This window comes from Homo sapiens, chromosome 5, assembly GCF_000001405.40.
Source record: "Homo sapiens chromosome 5, GRCh38.p14 Primary Assembly".
In the NCBI taxonomy this organism is placed as follows: domain Eukaryota; kingdom Metazoa; phylum Chordata; class Mammalia; order Primates; family Hominidae; genus Homo; species Homo sapiens.
The window spans coordinates 177,178,269-177,201,549 of NC_000005.10; the positions used below are offsets into that span (position 1 = coordinate 177,178,269).

General features: G+C 41.3%; 1 protein-coding gene across 12 annotated transcripts in view; it reads left to right on the forward strand.

The window, feature by feature from the left end:
- NSD1 (nuclear receptor binding SET domain protein 1) overlaps positions 1-23,281 on the forward strand; it is a 168,416-nt gene that overhangs the window by 46,471 nt on the left and 98,664 nt on the right. For all 12 annotated transcript variants that reach the window (NM_001409301.1, NM_001409304.1, NM_001409305.1 and 9 more), the window contains one exon: positions 13,616-13,751. In NM_001409301.1, the coding sequence (NP_001396230.1) occupies positions 13,616-13,751 (136 nt within the window). The remainder of the gene's footprint in view (positions 1-13,615; positions 13,752-23,281) is intronic.

The window sequence follows — 23,281 nt, forward strand, 5'->3', positions numbered from 1 at the left end:
TAGGCTGGAGTGCAATGGCGGGATCTCGGCTCACCACAACCTCCGCCTCCCGGGTTCAAGTGATTCTCCTGCCTCAGCCTCCTGAGTAGCTGGGATTACAGGCATGCACCACCAAGCCTGGCTAATTTTGTATTTTTAGTAGAGATGGGGTTTCTCCATGTTGGTCGGGCTGGTCTTGAACTCCCGACCTTAGGTGATCCACCTGCCTCGGCCTGCCAAAGTGTTGGGATTACAGGCGTAAGCCACCGCACCCGGCCTTTAATAGACATGTTTTAAATTTATAAGGATTAAGAAAAACCCCTAAAAATAAAAAACAAATTTATAATGATTTTATAGTTAAAAGGTTTTGTTGTTGAGACAGGGTCTTACCCTGTCACTGAAGCTAGAGTGCAGTGGAGTGATCACAGCTCACTGCATCCTCGACCTCCTCGGCTTAAGTGATCCTTGTTTAATGTTTGTTTTTAAGAACATTAAAAAGTGCTTTGTTGAAAGTGTTTGGTTTAGCACATTTTTATTGATTACTGAGTAGGTGCTGGAGTTTAAAACATGAATAAGACAAAAAAAATGAATAGAAAATAAGATTATTGCCTCTGCTGTTGAGACTCTTAGAGTGTGGTATTAATATCAATGTAATGTGTCAAGTGCAGTAAAAAGAGGTATGCACAAGGGGATCCAGAGCCTTAAGTAGGGGTAAAGTAGACCCAAGAGATGTTTCTTTGAGCTGAGTTATGAAGTATAAGTAGCTATTAGCCAGATAGGAAAATGAAGCGTGCCTTAGATTGTAAAGTATGATCAAGTGCATGGAGGTGTGATAGCATAAGATTTATGTGAACTACAAAGTGTAAATCGTGTGATGGAACTTGGTCATAGTTTTTCCTAGGGTAGGAGTCAGATTAGGAAGGGCTTTATTTTTCATCCTAGGACCTTGGATTTAAGTGTTTTTTTTGTTTGTTTTGTTTTTTTTGAGACAGAGTTTCACTCTTATTGCCCAGGCTGAAGTACAATGGCAGGATCTCAGCTCACCATAACCTCCGCCTCCTGGGTTCAAGCAATTCTCCTGCCTCAGCCTCCCTAGTAGCAGGGATTATAGGCATGCGCCACCACGCCCAGCTGATTTTGTGTTTTTAGTAGAAACAAGGGTTCTCCATGTTGGTCAGACTGGTCTCGAACTCCTGACCTCTGGTGATCCGCCCACTTCAGCCTCCCAAAGTGCTGGGATTATAGGCGTGAGCCACTGTGCCCAGCTAGTTTTGTTTTTTAAATTTTTATGTTTCCAAATAAATCATACACAGAGCACAAGTATAAAACATAGAAAAAAAGATGGAGCTGCTTTGACTTGGAATGTGGAGCAGCCAGCTTTCTTATCACCCTCTTGGGTAGCCTACAAGGGGCTCTCATGAGCACTATCTCAGAGGAACACAATTTGAAAACTACCTCTGTGATGGAATTTCAACAGAAGGATTTTGAGAAGTCCAGAGGAATTGATTAACTAATGATTAATTGTAAAATGCATTCTTAGAGTTGGAAATAAGTTGGTGTGATATGTGGGAGATGGGGAAGGGGGCCAATCAGGTATGTCTGGGCTATTAAGAAAATTGTTACTTCTATTCTTTAGTCTATTAAGATATAATTAATATTTTTATTTTTTATTTTTTTGAGACTTGCCCTGTCGCTCAGGCTGGGGTGCAGTGGTGTGGTCTGGGCTGACTGCAATCTCCACCTCCAGGTTTCAAGCGATTCTCCTGCCTTAGCCTCCTGGGTAGCTGGGATTACAGGCACCTGCCAACACGCCTGGCTAATTTTTGTTTTTTTATTTTTTATTTTATTTATTTATTTTTTTTTTTGAGACAGAGTCTCGCTGTGTTGCCCAGGCTGGAGTGCAGTGGCACGATCTTGGCTCACTGCAACCTCCGCCTCCTGGATTCAAGTGATTCTCCTGCCTCAGCCTCCCAAGTAGCTGCGATTACAGGCACATGCCACCACGCCTAGCTAATTTTTTTGTATTTTTAGTAAAGACAGGGTTTCAGCATGTTCATCATGTTTGCCAGGCTGGTCTCAAACTCCTGACCTCAAGTGAGCCGCCCACCTTGGCCTCCCAAAGTGCTGGGATTACAGGCATGAGCCACTGCACCTGGCCTACTCACCGTTTCAATGAATGTCATACCTTGGTATCTCGAGGGTCTTGCTATGTTAGTCAGGCTGGTCTTGAATTCCTTGGCTCAAGTGATCCACCTGCCTCGGCCTCCCAGAGTTTTGGGATTACAGGCATGAGCCACTGCCTGTAAACTTGTAGTGACTTTGCCCTTTGCTTAGTCTGTTAATTACTGAGAGAGGTTTTTCCCACCCTGTGATTATAATTTTGTTATGTGTCCTGGTATCTCTTGTTTTTCTTTTTATTATTTATTTATTTATTTTATTTATTTGTTTATTTTGAGATGGAGTCTCGCTCTGTTGCCCAGGCTAGAGTGCAGTGACATGATCTCAGCTCACTGCATCCTCCGCCTCCCGGGTTCAAGCGATTCTCCTGCCTCAGCCTCCCAAGTAGCTGGGATTACAGGCGCATGCCACCATGCCTGGCTAATTTTTGCATTTTTAGTACAGACAGGGTTTTGCCTTGTTATCCAGGCTGGTCTTGAACTCCTGACCTCATGATCCACCCGCCTCGGCCTCCCAAAGTGCTGGGATTACAGGCGTGAGCCACCGTGCCCGGCTGATGATGATATTTTAACAGATGAAGAGTTGCATTTTGTAGATGAGCAAAAAAATGTGGTTTCTTTTTTTTTTTTTTGAGATGGAGTCTCCCTTTGTAGCTCAGGCTGGAGTGCAGTGGTGTGATCTCAGCTCACTGCAAACTCCGCCTCCCAGGTTCTCCTGCCTCAGCCTCCCTAATAGCTGGGACTACAGGCACCTGCCACCAAAGTACGAGAATCACTTGAATTCGGGAAGGAAGTTTGCAGTGAGCCGAGATTGTGCCACTGCACTCCATCCTCGGTGACAGTGACAGAGCAAGACTGTCTCCAGAAAACACCCAAAAAGAGAGAAAGAAGCTCTACTGTGCATAAAATACTATCAAATGGCATTGAATGCTACAGAGAAATCAGGAAAGGAAGAGTCAATCGTCAATCCATGTGGGAAACTTCATTATGGGTTTTTTTTTGGTTTTTTTTTTTTTTTTTTGGCAGGTTCTCACCTTGTCACCCAGGCTGGAGCGCATTGGCACAATCTCATCTCACTGCAACCTCCAACTCGCGGGTTCAAGTGATTCTCCTGCCTCAGCCTCCTGAATAGCTGGGATTACAGGTGCCTGCCAGTATGCCTGGCTAATTTTTTGTAGTTTTTGTAGAGATGAGGTTTTGCCATGTTGTCTAAGCTGTTTTGAACTCCTGACCTCAAGTGATCTGCCCTCCTTGGCCTCCCAAAGTGCTGGGATTACAGGTGTGAGCCACTGTGCTTGGCTGCATTGTGGTCTTACTTTAAGAAATTGCTGTGGTGGGTTCTGTGCTATTTCCTGTAATCCCAGCACCTTGAGAGGCCAAGGCAGGTGGATCACTTGAGCCCAGGAGTTTGAGGCCATCCGGGGAAACATAAAAATTTAAAAAATTAGCCAGGCGCAGTGGCTCACGCCTGTAATCCCAGCACTTTGGGAGGCCCAGGTGGGCGGATCACGAGGTCAGGAGATCGAGACCATCCTGGCTAACACGGTGAAACCCTGTCTCTACTAAAAATACAAAAAATTAGCCAGGCATGGTGGCGGGCGTCTGTAGTCCTAGCTACTCGGGAGGCCGAGGTAGGAGAATGGTGTGAACCCGGGAGGTGGAGCTTGCAGTGAGTGGAGATCGCGCCACCGCACTCCAGCCTGGGTGACAGAGTGAGACTCCGTCTCAAAAAAAAAAAAAAAATTAGCTGGTCATAGTGGTATGCACTTTTAGTCCCAGTTACTTGGGAGGCCAATGCTAGAGGACCGCTGGAACCCAGGAGGCAGAGGCTACAGTGAGTTGTTTTTGTCCCACTGCATTCCAGCTTGGGCAACAGTTGAGTGAGACTCTGTCTCAGCAAAAACAAACAAACAAAAAACAGAAATTGCCACAGCCATTCTGACCTTCAGCAAGCAGCCATGAACACTGAGGCAAGACCCTCCATCAGCATAAAGCTTGCAGCTCAGATGATCATTTTTTAGAGACAGGGTTTTGCTCTCTTTCCCAGGCTCAAGTACAGTGATAAAACCGTAGCTTGCTGTAACCTGAAAATCCTGGACTCAAGTGATTGTTTTGCCTAGAACTACAAGGTTGTGCCAGCACCCCCAACTAAGTCTGGCTTTGTTTTTTCCTCCCCTCCCTTCCCCTCCCCTCCCCGCTTTTTAAAATTTTTATTTTATTTTTATTTTTTCAAATGGGATCTCGCTCTGTCACCTAGGCTGGAGTGCAATGGCGCAATCTCAGCTCACTGTAACCTTCCATCTCCCGGGTTCGAGTGATTCTCCTGCCTCAGCCTACTGAGTAACTGGGATTACAGGCGCCTGCCATTACGCCTGGCTAATTTTTGTATTTTTAGTAGAGACAGGGTTTCACCACGTTAGTCAGGCTGGTCTCGAACTCCTGACCTCAGGTGATCCGCCCACCTCGGCCTCCCAAAGTGCTGGCATTACAGGCGTGAGCCACCGTGCCTGGCCTCTTTTTTTGTTTTTTTAAGTAAAGATGAGGTCTCACTTATATTGCCAAGTATGGTCCTGAAGTCCTAGGCCCGAGCAGTCTTCCTGCCTTGGCTTCCGAAAGTGCTGGGATTACAGGTGTGAACCCCCACAACCAGCCTCAGTTAAGGGGTAAAATTTTTTTGTTTGTTTTTTTAGTGATGAGTTCTTGTTATATTGCCCAGGCTGGATATTCTTTTCTTTTAGCACTATATATTTTTTCCCCCAAATTTATACATTGAATACAACAAAGCATTCTTAATTTGTTATTTTTAATATATAATGCTATTGTACACAGACTATTGTGTAGTGTAAATCTAACTTTTATATATGTATTGTGAAATTGAAGCATTCTCGTGACTCACTTTATCGCAATATTTGCATTGTTGTGGTAGTCTTGAAACCGAACCTGTAGTATCTCCAAGGTATGCTTTTGCAAGTTTTTGTATGGACATGTGTTTTCATTATTCTTGGGTATTGTATACCTAGGAGTAGAGTTACTGCATCATATGGTCATTCTGTGTTTAAGAAAAAATTTTATTTTCAATGTTTGTGTATATATATTTATGATATACATGAGATATTTTGGTACAGACATGCAATATGTAATAATTACATTAGGGTAAATGGAGTTACCATCCCCTCAAGGATTTATCCTTTGTGTTACAATCTAATTATACCCTTTTTCTTATTTTAAAATATACAGTTAAATTATTATCAACCTGTTGTGCTATCAAATTCTAGTTCTTATTCATTATTTCTAACTTTTTTTTGGACTTACTGAATCATCTGTTCTTTTGTTTTCTTTAACCGTCCTCACTTCCATCTTTCTACTTCCCTTCCTAGCTTCTAGTAACCATTTTTCTGTTGTCTATCAGCATGAGTTCTATTGTTTTAATTTTTAGTTCCCACTAATAAGTGAGAACACATGAAGTTGGTCTTTCTGTGCCTGACTTATTTCATCTAACATAATGATCTCCAGTTCCATCTATGTTGTTGCAAATGATAGGATCTCATTCTTTTTCATGGCTGAATAACACTCCATTATGTATATGTACCACATTTGCTTTATTTATTCATCTGTTGAACACTTAGGTTATTTCCAAATCTTGGCTATTGTGAACAGTGCTGCAATAAACATGGGAGGGCAAATGTCTATTTGAAATACTGATTTCCTTTTCTGTATATAGCTAGTCGTGGGATTGCTGGATCAAATGGTAGCTCTATTTTTAGTTTTTTGAGGAACCTCCAAACTGTTGTCTAGATTTGTACTAATTTACATTCCTACCAACAACGTATGAGGGTTCCCTTTTCTCCACATCCTTTTATTCTTTTCTTTTGGATAAAAGCCATTTTATCTGTTTGAGATGGTATCTCATTGTAGTTTTGATTTGCATTTCTCTGATGATCAGTGATACTGAGCACCTTGTCATATTCTTGTTTGCCATTCGTATGTCTTTTTGAGTAATTTCTATTCAGATTTTTTGTCCATTTTTAGGAAAACTTTAATTTGATTGTTATATTTTTCTTTTAGATTTGTTTGATATCCTCACATAGTCTAGTTACTTGTTTTGGGTTTTTTTTTCTCTTGGAGACAGGGTCTCACTCTGTCACTTAGGCTGGTGTGCAGTGGGGCAGTCATGGCTCAGTGCAGCCTTGACCTCCCAAGCTCACGCATCCCTCCCAGTTTACCCTCCCAAGTTGCTGAAACTACAGGTGTGTGCTACCATGTCTGCCTGGTGTGGGTGTGTGTGGGTGTGTGTGTGCACGCAAGGATGGGATCTCGCCAAAGTTGATCTTGAAATCCTGGCCTCGAGCGATCACCCACCTTGGCCTCCCAAAGTGCTAGGATTGTGCAGGCCTGAGCCACCACGCCTGGCCTTTTCTTGTTTATAAATGAGATTATGTATTTATACTTGGGTTGATTTGATGACGTTATTCTTAAATATGGGTAGTTTAAGCTGTGGAAAAGTTTTAGTAGGCTTTGGATATCATATAAATCAAGCATCTAAACGGATGTGTTTTTGTCTTATATATTGCTGTCGTCTCTTTATAACAACTTAATATTATGGGAGTTTTTGGTAACTAAAACAATAACTGAGTCCTTAGAGTTGCGATAATTTCTATGATAATTGTTATGTAAAGCATTAGTACTTCCCCCACTTCCCCTCGTCTTTACCTCAAGTTGTGTATCACTATAGATTCTCAGCAAGTTTTTCTAAAAAACTGTGGCTGGGTGCAGTGGCTCATGCCTGTAATCCCAGTACTTTAGGAGGGCGATTTGGGTGGATTGATTGAGCTCAGGAGTTTGGGACCAGCCTGGGCATCATGGTGAAACCCTGTCTCTACAAAAAATATAAATGCCAGGTGCTGTGGCTCACGTCTGTAATCCCAGCACTTGGGAGGCGGAGGCTGGTGGATCACCTGAGGTCAGGAGTTCGAGACCAGCCTGGCCAACATGGTGAAACCCTGTCTCTCCTAAAAATACAAAAATTAGCCGGGCATGGTGGCAGGCGCCTGTAATCCCAGCTACTCGGGAGGCTGAGGCAGGAGAATCGCTTGAACCCAGGAGGCGGAGGTTGCATTGAGTTGAGATTGTGCCATTGCACTCCAGCCTGGGGGATGAGAGCGAGACTGTCTCAAAAAAACAAAACCAAATATATATTTGCTTTTTTGTTTGTTTTTTTGAGACAGAGACCAAATATATATTATATATATATATAATATATATTTGTTTTTTATTATAATATATATACATTATATATTATATATTATATATATTTTATATATTATATATAATATATTTTATATATTTATATATTATATATGTATATTATATATATATATATATAAATTTATATATATAATATATAAGTTTTATATATTTAAATATATATTATATATTATATATTTATATAATTAATATATATAATATATTTATATATTTTATATAATTATATATATTTATATATATAAATAAATATATATAATATAGTTATATATTTATATATAACTATATTATATATTATATATTTTATATTATATAATTTATATTATATATTATATATTATATATTTTTTATATATATAATATATAATATAACATATAATATATGTTATATATAATATATTATATATAACATATATTATATTATATGTATATTTATATATAATATATATATGTAAATCAGCCCAGTGTGGTGGTGTGCGTTTGTAGTCCCAACTACCTGGGAGCCTGAGGGGGAAGGATTGCTTGAGCCCAGGAGGTGGAAGCTGCAATGGGCTGTGATCACACCATTGCACTCTAGCCTGCATTACATAGGGAGACCCTGTCTCAGAAACGAAAAAGAAAAAATTGTTGCACTATGGCTATTTTTTAATATTTAGCTCAACTGTAATTTTTGGATATGTCTGGGAAGAGATTGATAGCCAATGACTATATTCAATTTACATTAAAATAGCATATCCCATATGACCAGGAACATAGTTGAACCGGTTTAGGTTTTTTTAAAAAATCCTCAGAAGTGCAACATAGGTTTGATTTTTAACTGTTGCTAGAAAAATTCATTAGTGAAAGTAAAGATCTCGTCCAAAATTCCTTTAAACAGAACTTTTGGCTCAAGAGCCACTTCTTAGTTAGAGTTGTAGAGATGTCTTAAGCCTTTAGTGATTTTCGAAGATGGTAGTGACGAGCTTTTCTGGGTTAGTTTAATATAAAGTGATACGTCACTGTCAGTGAAATAAGGAATATAAGGTGGCCGTGGTGGCTCAGGCCTATAATGCCAGCACTTTGGGAAGACAAGGTAGGAGGATTGCTTGAGACCAAGAGTTCGAAAGCAGCCTGGGGAACACAGGGAGACCTGTGTTCTGGGTGTGGTGGTGTGTGCCTTTAGTCCCAGCTATTCGAGTGGCTGAAATCAACGCGCCACTGCACCCCAGCCTGGGTGACAGACTGAGGCTGTGTCTCAAAAAACAAACCAACAATCAAAAAGAAAATGGGAGGTTTTAAATCTAGTTAGCTTTTAGGTTGGATTTAAACACTTTGCAAACAAATTCTAGCCATATTTATTTCTAATGCAAAAAACATGGTCTTTAGAGTTATTCAGATATGGATTTAAATTCTAATCGTTACAATTGTGACTTAACTTTTTTTTTTTTTTTTTTTTTTGAGCTGGAATCTCACTCCGTTGCCCAGGCTGGAATGCAGTGGTAAGATCTTGGCTCACTGCAACCTCCGCCTCCCAGGTTCAAGCGATTCTTCTGCCTCAACCTCCCAAGTAGCTGGGATTACAGGCACACACCACCATGCTCGGCTAATCTTTGTATTTTTAGTAGAGATGGGGTTTCACCATGTTTGCCAGGCTGGTCTTGAACTCCTGACCTCCAGTGATTCTCCCACCTTGGCCTCCCAAAGTGCTGGGATTACAGGCATGAGCCACCGCACCCAGCCTGTGACTTAACCTTTTTGAGCCTCAGTTTCTTTATCTGCAAAATCGAGATAATGCTGTCTTGTAAGGTTGTGAGGGGTAAGCAAAATAATGTATGTGTATTAGTTTTGGGGGGCTGTTGTAATGCAATACCACAAACTAGCTGGCTTAAACAGCAGAAATTCTCTCTCAGTTCGGGAAGCTAGAAGTACAAACTCAAGTTGTCAGCACATTGTTTTGAGGACTGTGAGTGTGTATCTGTCCCTGTCCCTCTCCTAATGTCTGACCTCAGGCTTTCCTTGGTTAATAGATTGTGTTCTGTCTGTGTTTTCACGTTGTCTTCCCTCTATTTGTGCCTGTCTTTGTTTCCAAATTTCTCCATTTTATTAGGAAACAGTTGCACTGAATTAAGGCCCACCCTTGTGACTTCATCTGGATCAACTGCAAAGACCCTACTTTCAAATAAGATCACATTCACAGCTACTGGGTTAGGGAGGAGTATATCTTGTGTGTGTGTAGAGTGGCAGTGTACACAGAATTCGGCCCAATACCATATATAAAAAAGGCTTAGTACCAGTATATTATTTCCAACTGGACCTATAGACATTAGAAAAAGCCATTCTGAAATCTGCCAGTCCTGCCAGTCTAAGCCTGGAAGATGCCACTTCTTTACTTACATTTTCTCTGATCTCTTTTCCCAAGTGTCTTGGGATCTGGAATTGTGACTTATTCGTCTTTGTGTGTCTTGTTGAGCTTTGTACATAGGTGTTTACTAAGTTTGTGTGTAGTTGAATTATGGGCTTAAATGGATTTATTTTAGTGTCTGTCTCTGCAAGATAAAATTTTTAAGCTGGTCTTAAAGTCGTCTTGCTTTTTTACACCCTTGTTCTTATTTTCATGTTTAGAAGCTTTTCTGTGGTCTGGAATTCTTGCCTGTTTCTAAGTTTATTTATTAAGATCAGTTGGATTTGGTCCTTATTGTCTATGAACGAAAGTATTAATGTGTATTTATATAGATTTATTTTTCCAGTGGGTTTGCATATGTTATTTTATTTGGTCATGTAAATTTTTCAAGATAGAAGAAAGTAAATAGGGGTTTGTTAAAGTCTTTACTCATTGTACCATCAATTAATGAAACTTTAAAATTTGTGTTTCTCAATGGCCTTGTTATTTAAAAGTTTTTTTAAGGTCATCATTATTGCTTCAGCCTAGTTTATAATGGATCATACAGTGTATGTATAGCTCTGTTATCTTTAAGATATGACATCTTAGCATATTTCATAGAGTTGTAATAGCATAATTTTTTTTGGTTATATAGATGAGAGGTTTCTGTGTTGGCCAGGCTGGCCTTGAACGCCCAGCCTCGCCTCCTTATGCACCAGGACAACAGGCCTGAGCCACCACGGCTCCTAGCATAATTTTTTTAAACAGATCTCTTGGTGGATATTAACTTTTGTCATTTTAAAAAAAAAATGCTTTAACAGCTTGGGCAACGTGGTTATATTCCATCTCTACAAAAAATACAGAAATTTTCCAGGCATGTTGGTGAGCATTGGAACACTGAGATGGGAGGATGGGTTGAGCTCAGGAGGCGAAGATTGCAGTGAGTGAAGATTGCACCATTGCACTCCAGCCTGGGAGGCAGAGTGAGAACCTGTCTCAAAAAAAACACACAAAAAACCAACCAAACAAAAACCTGCTTTAAATATCTTACCCTAGAATTAGGAATTATAGGAAATTACTTTGAATTATTTTTGGGGCTTAAAATACTGGGAGCTGAATTACTAGTTACTCATTTTGATGGTGTATTATAGAGTAGGTGTTACTTTCCCAATTTTGTGGCTTAGGAAACTGAGACCAAATTAACAGACTTTTTGAAGGTGACACAGTTTGTGATGGAGTCAGAAGAGAGGATTTATTACTACTTTCTCTGGTTCTGTGGTTCTGGCTATTGTCTTTACCTGATACCACTGACATTCTTTCTCCTCTGTCTATTGAATGCATGTATTTTATGATTATACTTCCAAAAATACAATGTAATCTTTTTGTAGTAGTTCTCTGAGGAGAAGACAGAACCAACAACATGTGCTAGATTGGTTATAGTTAAATTTGTCATAAAGCATATAATAATAATGAGGTTTTGTTGTTATTGGATAACAGGAGAGTGGTTTAAGAATTTAGGCTCTGGAGTTGTATCTCCCCAGGTTTGAATCCTTGGTTCTGTCACTTAATAACTATGTAACCACAGGCATGTAGTAAAATAATGGGTAATAATGTGTTTACTTGAAGAACAGTGCCTTGCATGTAGCAAACATCATGTTACTTAATGTATTTGAAGTCATTTAGGACTTGAATAAATAAGCAAGTTCCATATTTAGCAGTGCCAAATAAATCATATTTAAATAATCAAAAATCAAATTATATAATAAATTTATTGGAACCTACTCAGATTGCAGTTTTCAGTACAGATAAAATATTTGTCTTTCCCATCGATTCTTGGTATCTCTTAAAGTTTCAAAGTCAATTAACTTTGAAGTCGTATTCTTTTTGAGAATTTACTTGATAACCATCAATATGGTCCCTTAGATTTTTTTAAAGACAGATCTCACTCTGTAGCACAGGCTGGAGTGCAGTGGGCATGAACATGGTCCACTGTAGCCTCGAATTCTTGGGCTCAAGCAGTCCTCCTACCTGTCTCCCAAGCAGCTGGGAGTACAGGCATGCACCACCATGCCCAGCTAATTTTTTAAATTTTTTGTAGAGACTGGGTCTGACATGTTGTCCAGGCTGATCTCAGACTCCTAGGCTGGAGTGATCCTGTCACCTCAGCCTCCCAAAGTGCTGGAATTTATAGGCAAGAGCCACAGCATCTGGCCCCCTTAGGGCTTTTTATTTTATTTTATTCTTTTTACTTTTGAGGCAGAGTCTAACTCTGTTGCCCAGGCCGGCGTGCAGTGGCGCAATCTTGGCTCACTGCAACCTCTGCCTCCCTGGTTCAAGCAATTCTCTTGCCTCAGCCTCCCGAGTAGCTGGGATTACCGGCATGCGCCGCCATGCCCTGCCAATTTTTGTATTTTTTTCTCTTTTTAGCAGAGACAGGGTTTCGCTGTGTTGGCCAGGCTGATCTCAAACTCCTGGCCTCAAGTTATCTGCCTACCTCGGCCTCCCAGAGTACTGGGATTACAGATGTGAGCCACTGTGCCTGGCCCCTTAGAGCTTTTTAAAAGAAAGTAAGATGTAGTTCTTGTTTCATTTTCTAGTAGCTCTATATACAGGAGGAACTAATCCCAGGTTTTTTTTTTTTCCGAGACGGAGTCTTGCTCTGTCTCCCAGGCTGGAGTGCAGTGGCGCCATCTCGGCTCACTGCAAGCTCCGCCTCCTGGGTTCACGCCATTCTCCTGCCTCAGCCTCCCGAGTAGCTGGGACTACAGGCGCCCGCCACCATGCCCAGCTAATTTTTTATTTTTAGTAGAGACGGGGTTTCACCGTGTTAGCCAGGATGGTCTCGATTTCCTGACCTCGTGATCTGCCCGCCTCGGCCTCCCAAAGTGCTGGGATTACAGGCATGAGCCACTGCACCCAGCCTTTTTTTTTTTTTTCTTTTTTTTTTTTGAAGAGTCTCTCTGTCGCCGAGGCTAAAGTACGGTGGCTCTTGGCTCGCTGCAACCTCCGCCTCCAGGGTTCAAGCGATTCTCCTGTCTCAGCCTCCCAAGTAACTGGGTAGGATTACAGGTGCCCGCTAACACCCCCGGCTAATTTTTGTATTTTTAGTAGAACAAGGTTTCACCATGTTGGCCAGGCCGGTCACGAACTCCTGACCTCAGGTGATCCACCTGCCTCGGCCTCCCAAAGTGCTGGGATTACAGGCATGAGCCACTGTGCCCAGCCAATCCCAGTATTTTTAATGAGATTTAACTTCTGTGAGTATTTAGAAGAATTCTTTGCTGTTTTCTCTGGGGCTTATGTCTGAAAGTAAAGTGTTAGCTGGGACTACAGGCATGTGCCACCACTCCTGGCTATTACTATTGTTAATACGCTAATAGAAATATTGGTTTGAAAAGCATGTAGAATATCACATGCAGAAGGGTCTGAAGTCTCTTGATATTATTAAAAATTCTTCCTATAATTTTTTCTCCATTTTTTTTTTCCCTTTGTGTTTTGATCCAAGGACTAGATCAAGGGTGTCTTTTCCTTCGGATGATTTTCTTTATTGTGTGTGTTTTTAGTTCTTTAAAAATAAAGCCAGCTTAATTTTATTTTCAAAATACGGATAGATTCATTATATAAAACAATTATAAGTTGAGAACTATGTATAAAGGGCTATGTTATGAACAATTAAGATGGAATAATTTAGTTGTACTTATTTTGTAATTCTTTTTAGGCTAGAGTGTTTTCATTCTCAATTTTTCATACATTGCTTTTTCAGAAGGCTAATAGGAATGACAATAATGTTTCAAAATATTTTGATTCTTATTGATGCCCCATGTTTTGTCTGTCTAAAGTGTCAACCTAAGAAAAAGTCTACGCCACTGAAGTATGAAGTTGGAGATCTCATCTGGGCAAAATTCAAGAGACGCCCATGGTGGCCCTGCAGGATTTGTTCTGATCCGTTGATTAACACACATTCAAAAATGAAAGGTAATACTTGCAGTGATTATACATGTTAAAGGCAGTTGCCTTTAGAATAACTCAATTTTTGTTATCTTAATAATAATATATTTTTTTCCTTGGAACATTTTGTGAATGAATTGGTGTTACATATTTTATCTTTTGGGGCTTTTAAAAGTTCGTTTTACTCTATGATTTAAACCTTCTCTCAGTTTTTTTTTTTTGTTTGTTTGTTTTTGAGACGGAGTCTCGCTCTTGTTGCCCAGGCTGGACTGTAGTGGTGCAATCTCAGCTCACTGCAACCTCTGACTTGTGAGTTCAAGCGATTCTCCTGCCTTAGCCTCCCGAGTAGCTGGGATTACAGGCATCCGCCACCACGCTTGGCTAATTTTTGTTTTTTGTTTTTTTTTTTAATTTTTTATTTGAGATGGAGTTTTGCTCTTGTTGCCCAGGCTGGAGTGCAGTGGCGTGATCTCAGCTTACCGCAACCTCTGCCTCCCGGGTTCAAGCAATTCTTCTGGCTCAGCCTCCTCAGTAGCTGGGATTGCAGGCATGTGCCACTACGCCCAGCTAATTTTGTATTTTTAGTAGAAACGGGGTTTCTCCATGTTGGTCAGACTGGTCTCGAGCTCCCGACCTCAGGCGATCTGCCTGCCTTGGCCTCCCAAAGTGCTGAGATTACAGGCATGAGCCCTGCACCAGGCCTAATTTTTGTATTTTTAGTAGAGACGGGGTTTCACCATGTTGGCCAGGCTGGTCTTGAACTCCTGAGATGAGGTGATCCGCCCGCCTTAGACTCCCAAAGTATGGGGATTACAGGCGTGAGCCACTGTGCCCGGCTGATTTAAACATTCTCAATTATTCTGTTGATGCCAGGAAGGTGTTAGGCCATTTTTCTAATGTTTACATTGTCCGGAATCACCTTTTAGTATATTTACGTATTTCTACTTTAATCAGGTTTGTATCATTTTTTATAATATAAAAGCTGAAACAATTGTAAATGTTTATTAATAATTTTGAAGTTTAAAATTTTAATTTGGAGTATTTCCTTTAAATGCTATTGTTTGTTTTTCAGTTGATTGTTGTGTTTGAATCTTAGGTACCTTAGTTTTAAATTACTCTAAAGGATGGGGCTGAAACTTGATTTATTTTTATTTTATTTTATTTTAGAGAAGAATTTCTGCTCTGTCTCCCAGGCTGGAGTGCAGTGGCGTGATCTCGGCTCACTGCAAGCTCTGCCTGCTGGGTTCATGCCATTCTCCTGCCTCAGCCTCCCGAGTAGCTGGGACTACAGGCGTCCGCCACCATGCCTGGCTAATTTTTTTGGTATTTTTAGTAGAGACGGGATTTCACCGTGTTAACCAGGATGGTCTTGATCTCTTGACCTCGTGATCTGCCTGCCTCGGCCTTACAAAATGCTGGGATTACAAGCGTGAGCCACCGTGCCGGGCCAATTTTTGTATTTTTAGTAGAGATGGGGTTTCACCATGTTGGCCAGGCTGGTCTTGAACTCCTGACCTCAGGTGATCCTCCTTCCTCAGCCTCCCAAAGTGTTGGGATTACAGGTGTGAGCCACTGCACCTGGCCTGAAACTTGATTTGAGCTGTCCTTTTTTCTGTTAGGATGGTAGTGATTTTATTTTAGTTTTAATATATGTATTTTAGTTTCTGAAAGTCAGATGTTGGTGAGATTCAGAAAAATCAGCTTACTCTCTGCTTTGCTGTGATCCGCCACATTCTTCACTCCTTTCAACAGGCAACCAATTGATATTAATTTTTGTTGTTGTTGTTGTTGTTTTGTTTTGAGACGGAATCTTGCTCTGTCACGTACGTTGGAGTGCAGTGGCGCAATTTCGGCTCACTGCAACCTCTGCCTCCCGGGTTCAAGCAATTCTCCTCCTGCCTCAGCCTCCAGAGTAGCTGGGATTACAGGTGCGTGCCACCATGCCCAGCTAATTTTTGTATTTTAGTAGAGACGGGGTTTCACCATGTTGGCCAGGCTGGTCTCAAACTCCTGACCTCAAGTGAACCACAGGTCTTGGCCTCCCAAAGTGTTTGGATTACAGGCGTGAGCCACCACACCTGGCTGATATTAATATATTTTTATATACATAATGTTTTTTCATATAAATTATATTTTTATTTACATGAGTAAATACATACTTCTTAGTCATCTTCCACGTCTTTCCTTTATCACAAACAGAACATTGTATATTTTGCAGCTTGCCTTTTCCACTTTGTGGAGATTTTTTTCATATTTTTATTATTTATGTATTTGTTTATTTTTCTGAGACAGGATCTCATTCTGTTGCCTAGGCTGGAGTGTAATGGCATAACAACGCCTCACTGAAGCCTTGATCTCCAGGGCTCAAACAGTCATCCAACCTCAGCATCCTGAATAGCTGGAATAGCTGGAATAGCTGGGAGCACAGACGTGTGCCACCACACATGGCTTTTTTTTTTTTTTTTTGGGTGGAGATAGTGTCTCCATATATTACCCAGGCTGGTCTTGAAATCCTGAGCTTAATAAGGGATCCTCCCACCTTGGCCTTCCGGAGTGCTGGAATTACATGTGTGAGTCACCATGCCTCTTTTTTTTTTTTTTTTTTTTTTTAAAAAGGATGATTTCTCCAAAGTAGAATTCCTGGATTTGATTTTATATTTTGAATAATGAGGTGCCCAAAAACCTTTATAAATTTTAGTGTCTTTTTTTTTTTTTTTTTTTTTTTTTGAGGCAGAGCCTTGCTCTGTCTCCCAGGTTGGAGTGCAGTGGCACAATCTCGGCTCACTGCAAGCTCCACCTCCTGGGTTCACACCATTCTCCTGCCTCAGCCTCCCGAGTACCTGGGACTACAGGTGCCAGAACCTAGCACAGTACTAGGTTTTGTGTCTGGGCGCAGTGGCTCACACCTGTAATTCCAGCACTTTGGGAGGCTAAGGCGGGCAGATCACCTGAGGTCAGGAGTTCGAGACCAGTCTGGCTGACATGGTGAAACCCTGTGTTTACTAAAAATACAAAAATTAGCCAGGTGTGTTGGCATGCTCCTACAATCCCAGCTACTGGGGAGGCTGAGGCAGAAGAATTGCTTGAGCCCGGGATGTGGAGGTTGCCGTGATCCAAGATCACACTACTGCACTACAGCCTGGGTGACAGAGCGAGACTCTGTCTCAAAAGAAGAAAATAACTTAGTGTGTTAAAAATTTAATACCTTGACCAGACACGGTAGCTCATGCCTATAATCCCAGCACTTTGGGAGTCCGAGGTGGGAGGATCACTTGAGCCTAGGAGTTTGAGACCAGCCTTGGCAATACAATGAGACACTTTCTCTTTAATTCAAAAAAAATGTTGATACCTTATCCTTTGTGACCTGTCTGGATATTTAAATTCTACTACTAGAAAACTCTGAGTCCTTCTTTTCTAACCTCCCTGTCCCTATGACTGCTGGTTTCTTACTCATTAGGGTGTCTCTCTCTCTCTCTCTCCTCGTCTCTCTTTTGATTGAGGGTCTCGTTCTATTGCCCAGGCTAGAATGCAGTGGCGTGATCATGACTCATTGCAGCCATAGCTTCCCAGGGTCAAGCGATCTTCCCTCCTGTGCCTTCCAAGCAGCTGGGGCTACAGGCATTCGCCACTATGCCTGGCTTAGTTTTTAATTTTTTTGTAGAGACAGGGTTTTGCCTTGTTGCCCAGGCTGGTCTGAAACTCCTGGGCTCAAGCGATCTGCCCGCCTCGGCCTCCCAAAGTACTTGGGATTACTGACAGGAGCTACCGCACTCAGCCTATTTATAGTGTTTCTTATGCATACTAGTTGAGTCCATGCTATTTATTTGACAAATAGTAAATACCTTGTATAGATTGAGTACTGTGCTAGGTTTTGGGATTCATTATTGGGCCATACATCTATACTGCTTGCTCTCATGAGAAATTAGAATCTAGTATAAGGGACAAGACACCAGAAAATAATCAAATGCATTATTACTTAACTGAGAAGTCTGTCCAAGGAACAATTTTGATGCCTATTCAGTGATATAACAGGGATAACTGACCTGGACTCTTCATCAGTGGTGTTTGCTAATAAAGTTATCTCTGATCTGTTACTTGAGAGGATGAGTTGGGAGTTAACTAGGGAAGAGAGAAGAAGATGGTTCCAGGAATCTGCAGCTCACAGAGTAAGGGAGGGTGGCACAGTATGAGGCTGGGAAGTAGATATGGGACAAAGTGTTCAGTGCCTTGTTGACTTTGTTAAAAAATTTTGTTATTTTTATCTCAGAAACAATGTATATAATTAAAAAGTGTTTAGCAGGAGCCGCCATGCTCTGATCTGTTCATTTTAAAAGTTCACTGTGGCTGGATTGTTGAACATGTGTTAGAAGGGGACCACAAATAAGTAAAAAGAGACAGTTAAGTCATTATTAGTGATTATGGTGTGATGAAAATTGCGAATAGAAAATAAAAACAGATGAGGAGGTAAAATGCATCTGATGTAGTAATGCATTGGATAATGTTGACTGAGGGAGAATGAAGTCCTGAGGCTTTCAGTTCTCAGGTTTCCATATCATAGGATGGCTCCCACGTTTTTAGCTTCATCACTGGATGGCTGAATAGATCGTCATTTACTGAGAGAACACCAGAGCATCTATAACTCAGAAAGGACATATTCTTGTTCATATTAGTTGGAGCCATGGGCAAGGCATGGGTGAGATTTTTTGGGACAAAAGATACTATGAGACAAAAGGTACATTGAGGAAGACATCATTTGACATCTGTATGAAAGAGACTGAGCTTGCTGAAAAAGAATGATGAAAAAGAATCAGATGAAACAGGTGGAAGAGGAAAAGTAGGAGAATGTGGCTAGAGTACAGTAGTATGTACTGGGGATATGTTCTAAGATTCTCAGTGGATGCCTGAAACTGGATAGTACTGAATCCCATATATATAATGTTTTTCCTGTACATACATACCTATTATAAAGTATCATTTATAAATTGGGCATTGTGGCTGGTTGTGGTGGCTCACGCCTGCAATCCAGCACTTTGGGAATCCGAGGCGGGCGGATCACTTGAGGTCAGGAGTTGAAAGCCAGCCTGGCCAACATGGTGAAACCCTGTTTCTTCTAAAAACACACAAAAAATTAGCTGGGCGTGGTGGTGGATGCCTGTAATCCCAGCTACTGGGGAGGCTGAGGCAGGAGGATTGCTTAAACTTGGGAGGTGGAAGTTGCAATGAGCCGAGATCATACCACTGCTCTCCAGCCTGGGCAATGGAGCAAGACTCCATCTAAAAAAAAAAAAATAGTAAATAAAAAATAAATTGGGTATTGTAAGAGATCAGTAACAACTAATAATAAAACAGGGCGGGTGCAGTGGCTCACGCCTATAATCCCAGCACTTCGGGAGGCCGAGGCAGGCGGATCACAAGGTCAGGCGATGGAGACCATCCTGGCTAACAAGGTGAAACCCTGTCTCTACTAAAAATACAAAACATTAGCTGGGCAGGGTGGCGGGCGCCTGTAGTCCCAGCTACTTGGCAGGCTGAGGCAGGAGAATGGTGTGAACCCGGGAGGCGGAGCTTGCAGTGAGCCAAGATGACGCCACTGCACTCCAGCCTGGGCGAGAGTGCGAGACTCCATCTCAAAAAATAAATAAAACAGAACAATTACACTGTAATAAAAGTTATGGGAATCTGTCCCCTACCTTCGACCCCAATAGCTTATTTTACTGTATCACAGGTAACTGAAACCATCGAAAGTGAAGTCTCACGTGAGCTGGGACCACTGTAGTTTAAGGACGATGTGGTCAATTTTGCTGAGTGTTGCCTAGAGAGCAAATAAAATGTCCATTAGGGATAAGAAGGTGGAGATCACGAGTACCTTTTTTGTTGTTGTTGGTTTCATTGAGGTAGAAGTTAGATTGGACTGATTTGAGGCAATGGAGACAGAGACAGAGAAGGGAGGATGCTGCAGGCAGATAGGTATATAGGATTCAGAAGGATTTTTATTTTTTGTTGTTATTTTTTATTTTAATATTAGTCTTATTTTTGAGAAAGAGTCTTGCTCTGTCACTCAGGCTGGAGTGCAGTGGCACAATTACAGCTCACTGCAACTTCCATCTCCCAGGCTCCAGTGCTCCAGGGCTCCAGCACTCCTTCCACCTCAGCCTCCTCAGTAGCTGGGACTACAGGTGTGCACCACAACACTTGGCTAATTTTTATATTTTTTGTAGAGACAAGATCTCCCTATGTTGCATGAACTGGTCTTGAACTCCTGGCCTTAAGTGATCCTCCCGCCTTGGCCTCCCAACGTGCTGAGATTACAGGTGTGAGCCACTGTGCCTGGCCAATTTATTTTTGACTCTAGAGACAGGGAAGTTTCAAGATGAAGGTGCTAGCCAATTCGGATCCCAAGTGAGGGCTGTCTTCCTGACTTGTAGATAACCACCTTGTTGCTGTGTCGTCATTTGGCAGAGAGCGAAAGTACTCACTGTGGCATCTTCTTTTAAGGAGACTAGTTGCATCATGAGGTCACCTCCATCATGAGGGACCTATTACTAATCTAGTAATAGTATTTAGTATTCTTAGTATATTTAGTGTATAAAATTAGTAAATCTACTTACTCCAAAGGCCTCACCTGTAAACACCAACATATGGGGGGGTCAAGGCTTCAGAATAATGCATTTCAGGAGGACACAAACATTTAGTCTGTAATAGCCCTTTTTCATCCTTCTTGAATGACAGTCTTACTAACTCTGAGTTTTAAATTGTCGTCAGTAAGCTGAATTCATATCCTTAGTGATAGTCTTTATCCAGGCTTTAGATTTGTATACTCAACTCCATACTTGAAGTTTTCACCAAGATGTCAATTTGAAAATATATTCATCACCCTAACATGGAACCCCATACTCTTTAGCTTCCTCTGTCTCCATCTTTCCACACCCATACGTGTTTGCCTTAAGCAACCACTAATGTACTTTCTGTTTCTGTGGATTTGCATATTCTAGACATTTCATATGTAGTAGGTCCCCAATTTGAGTTAGAATTTTTCGACCTTACAATGGTGCGAAAGCGATACACATTAAATAGAAATGGTACTTCAAGTTACCTGTAGAACCATTCTGTTTTTCACTTTCAATGTAGTATTCAGTAAATTACAGGAGATATTCAGCAGTTAATTTTAAAATAGGCTTTGTGTCAGAAATATTGCACAACTGTAGACCAATGTAAGTGTTCTGAGCATGTTTAGCGTAGGCTAGGTGTATTAAATGCATTTTCTAATTATTATTTTTTTTTTAGAGGCAGGGTCTTGCTTTGTTGCTCAGGCTGGAGTGTAGTGACGCGATGTCAGCTCACTGCAACCTCTGCCTCTTGGACTCATGTGATTCTCCTGCCTCAGCCCCCCAAGTAGCTGGAACTACAGGCAAGGGCCACCATGCCCAGCTAATTTTTAAATTTTTTTATAGACAGGGTCTCCCTGTATTGCCCATGCTTGTCTTGAACTACTGGGCTCAAACAGTCTTCTTGCCTTGGCCTCAAAAAGTGTTTGGATTATAGGCGTGAAGCCTCTGCGTCTGGCCAGCCTTCATATTCAACTTAATATTTTCTTTTCTTTTCTTTTCTTTTCTTTTCTTTTTTTTTGAGATGGAGTCTCTCTCTGTCACCAGACTAGAGTGCAGTGGCACGATCTCAGCTCACTGCAACCTCTGACATCCTGGTTCAAGCAATTCTCCTGCCTCAACCTCCTGAGTAGCTGGGATTACAGGCACCTGCCACCACGCCCGGCTAATTTAATTTTTAGTAGAGACGGGGTTTCACCATGTTGGTCAGGATGTTCTCCATCTCCTGACCTCGTGATCTGCCAACCTCGGCCTCCCAAAGTGCTGGGATTACAGGAGCGAGCCACCACGCCCGGCCTCAACTTAATATTTTCAGCTTATAATGGGTATGTCATGGAGCATCTGTGATTTGTTTATAATTTTTCCACAAATCTGTTGTGCTCCTCAACTTACAATGGGGATACGTTTCCACTAGGAATGCATTGGTTCTGATTTTTCCCATATCCCCATCATTGGTTATTTGACTTTTAAAAAATAGACAAAACATAAATTTAATGTTTTTTTTTTGTTTTGTTTTGTTGAGATAGAGTCCTGCTCTGTTGCCCAGGCTGTGGCAGGATCTCAGCTCACTGCAACCTCTGCCTCCTGGGTTCAAGCAGTTCTTCTGCCTCAGCCTCCTGAGTAGCTGGGACTATACGAGTAACTGGGACTACAGGCATGTGCCAGCACGCCTGGCTCATTTTTGTATTTTTAGTAGAGACAGGATTTCACCATGTTGGCCAGGCCGTTCTTGAACTCCTGACCTTAAGTGATCCTCCCGCCTCGGCCTCCCAAGGTGCTGTCCTGCCTCAGCCTCCCAAGGTGCTGGGACTACAGGCCTGAGTCACCTTTCCTCGCCTAATGTTTTCATTGTTTCAAGTAGGCAGTTCAGTAGCATTAAGTATATTAACATTGTTGTGTAGCCATTACCACTATTCATCTCCAGACTCTTTCATCTCCCAAACTGAAACTCTGTACCCATTTACCAACATCACCATAGCCCTTGGTAACCACTGTTCTGTGTTTTTTTTCCTTATAAATTTGACTATTTTAGATACCACATATAACTAGAATCAGACATTTGTCCTATTGACCCCTTACTTCATTTATCATAATGTCTTCTAAGTTCATCAATGCTATAGTATGTTTCTGAATTTCTTTCTCTCTCTCTCAATTTTTTTAAAGGCTACATAATACGTCATTGTATTGTAAGTACCACATTTTGTTTTTCCATTCATCCATCAGAGAACATTTGGGTTGTTTTCCTTTTGGCCATTCTGAACAGTGTTTCTATAAACATTGTATAGTATCTGGTGTTTTTGTATTTTTTTTTTTTTGGATGGAGTTTCACTCTTGTTGCTCAGGCTGGAGTGCAATGAGGCGTGATCTTGGCTCACTGCAACTTCTGTCTCCTGGGTTCAAGTGATTCTCTTGCCTCAGTTGGGATTACAGGTGCATACCACCACACCTGGCATTAATTTTTGTATTTTTAGTAGAGACTGGGTTTCGCCATGTTGGCCAGGCTGGTCTCAAACTCCTGACCTCTGGTGATCTGCCTGCCTCCACCTCCCAAAGTGCTGGGATTATAGGTGTGAGCCACTGTGTCCAACCTAAGCATCTGTGTCTTTTTTGTTGTTTTTTATTTGTTTTTTGAGACAGAGTCTTGCTCTGTCTCCCAGGCTGGAGTGCAGTAGCGGGATCTTGGCTCACTGCAACCTCTGCCTCCTGGGTTCAAGCGATTCTTCTGCCTCAGTCTCCCGAGTAGCTGGGACTAAAAGTCAGCTAAAAGTCAAAGCTGTAATGGCTAAGATCTTAACATGCCATGCAAACTCTTACAAGTCTGGTTGCTGCCCAACCTTTATTAGTTTCCCTTTTCTTCTAGTTTATGATAGTGTTTAGAACTACTTGTAGTTTTGTTTAGTTTTATTCATTCATGCCTTTGAGGGTTCTGTGCCCTCATACTATAATTCTATC